At 43.5% G+C, this 2,219-nt stretch overlaps 1 annotated feature.

The window, feature by feature from the left end:
• Positions 733 to 1,932: an enhancer, noted in NCBI's record as "CDK7 strongly-dependent group 2 enhancer chr2:176342216-176343415 (GRCh37/hg19 assembly coordinates)". NCBI's record gives its function as "activates an origin of replication core promoter dependent on BRD2, BRD4, P300/CBP, MED14 and CDK7 cofactors, with strong dependence on CDK7, by STARR-seq in HCT116 cells {active_cell/tissue: HCT116}" and the evidence as "EXISTENCE:reporter gene assay evidence [ECO:0000049][PMID:35650434]".

Raw genomic sequence — 2,219 nt, forward strand, 5'->3', positions numbered from 1 at the left:
CTCTCCAAATACAGTCACATTCGGAGGTACTGGGTTTAGGATTTCAACATACGAATTTCGGGGAGACCCAATTCAATCCATAACAGGAATTCTTTTAAGTTATTTTAGGTAGATGTATATTTATTATAGATAACATGATTAAGTTATAATATTATACTCTATATCGGCCAATGAAATGAACTACCCTAGATACCTCAAAACAAGAAATCTGTCACAAGAAAATAGTTTCATGGGTAAAGAAAGAGTTGAGAAACCCAGCAGAAATAATCTAAAGACAAACAAGTACGGAAATACATTTTTTCCTCTGGGGCTGGTAGGATGAAAAGAGGAAGGAGATGGTGTCACTGGAGCAGCACGTGATTAGAGGCCACCCAGCGGATCTGAACTGCTGTGGACCTGTCCCATGGGAGCTGGGGCCGCAAAGGACAGGGCTGTTTGGCAAGACATGAAGCCAAGTAGAAAACGGGCGCTGACGAGATGCTACCTGAAACAGAGAGGAGGACCAACACTTTGACCTCTTCCTCTGCCAGAGCCTACCCCTGGTTGATTCTCTGCCAGAACTGGAGGGCCCAGGCACCCCGGAAATGCAGTGCCCTTAGTTCTCTGTGAAAAGGAGCAGAGCACAGGAAAGGCAAGGCATGGCTCCGGGAGCAAAGATCCGAAAACCAACACTACTAACTTTATAGAGTTCATTTCACAAGTTGGAACACAGTGGTTCTTGACCAGTGGTTTTGTGGGCCTGGTGAAGTCACCAGTTCAGTTCCTTTAAGAACTATGGAACAGAAATTCCTGAATTGCTTAGAACTGGTTTAAAGCCAGGATTTGGGTGTTTGCTTGTAGAAACCAGAAAAACAAACAAACAAAAAAACCCACTTTGTACCAATGAGCTTTGTTTCTTTCATCGCTTTGTTTGGATATGCTTAGCCTATAAGATTGTTCTCTAAATGAGCAAATGCTTGTAAGCAGCTTTGAGACTGTAAAGATATGACTTACCTGACAATTGCTTGGTTCACTTGCTACCTGTCTTTTGCATATTTTCTCCTCTCATCATAGTTTTTTGAGACAGGAACATGTCTTTGAAGAAATCTGTGTCTCCCTGCAACCTCAGGACTGATGATCATAAGGTGTCTGTGGAGCCCTTTGTTGGGAGAGGACTGGGAGAGGACCGGGAGAAGGGGGAGCGTGTGTTTCATGTGGCCAGAATCCTCTGCAGCCACCAGCAGGAGAAGAGAGGCATGGGATGTCAGACATATTAACAGAATCATTTAGAGCAACTTGTTTTCTATGCAGAGACTTTTTCAAGACCAGGGCTATTTTTGCCGCTTAATGTGGTCTGCATTTTCTGCAGTCAGACCCCACTGATGGTTAATGACAGAAGATCCAGGAAGCTTGGGGATTGTGCCAGTAGACACCAGAGACAGTAACCTTGTCAAAAAAGAAACAGATGACATACTTACAGCATGGTGAGACACTCAGTTCCTAAGCCCCTAAAGCAACTAGGAAGAGACTTGATGCAGAGACACTAATTACACAGCCGGATTTCTCCGAAGGCAGCATTTACCAATCCTCTCTCCTAAAAATGTAGATTGGCAGAGGGATAATTCCAAGTAATTTAATGAAACAGCAGGTGATAGTGAGAATTATCCTAGGGGTGGGGCAAGCAAGTAGCCGTGTGCAGTCAGGCACATACTAAGTTGCCTCTCATGCCCACATTCCTAGGCATAAAAGACCCATCAAAGGGTGAGCTGCGGCAAACAAGGTACATTGATTAGTATGTATCATTCAGCTGTTGGCATGCTGACACACCCACTGAGTGATATTGGACTCGTGGGATTGATATCTGTGACTCAAAAAGCCTAAGGATTTCAAACAGGTGACTCAGACATCACATGTATAGCTCTTTCCTTATTGGCAGCCTCGGCTGGGCGGGTGCTCAGCCTGCATCTCACAGGTTCCCCTGTCAACTCTTGTTGTCATCATTGACTCTAAGCCGCATTTTGGCAGGGTTCTGTCTACATTTGTGATTATTTTATCCTCAGCATCCAGCACATTGCCTGGCACATGGTGAGTCAAATTCATCTCTAGGACGGTCTTTGAGTTTGCACATAAAATGTTGGAAGTATTTTGCCATCGGTTTCAATGAATACTGTTATTGAAGTTATTTTTTCTTTCTTAGCAAATGAAATCATAATGTGAATAATCAGCTTCATTAAATCTAT

The sequence above is a fragment of the Homo sapiens genome, chromosome 2, assembly GCF_000001405.40.
Source record: "Homo sapiens chromosome 2, GRCh38.p14 Primary Assembly".
Taxonomy (NCBI): Eukaryota; Metazoa; Chordata; class Mammalia; order Primates; family Hominidae; genus Homo; species Homo sapiens.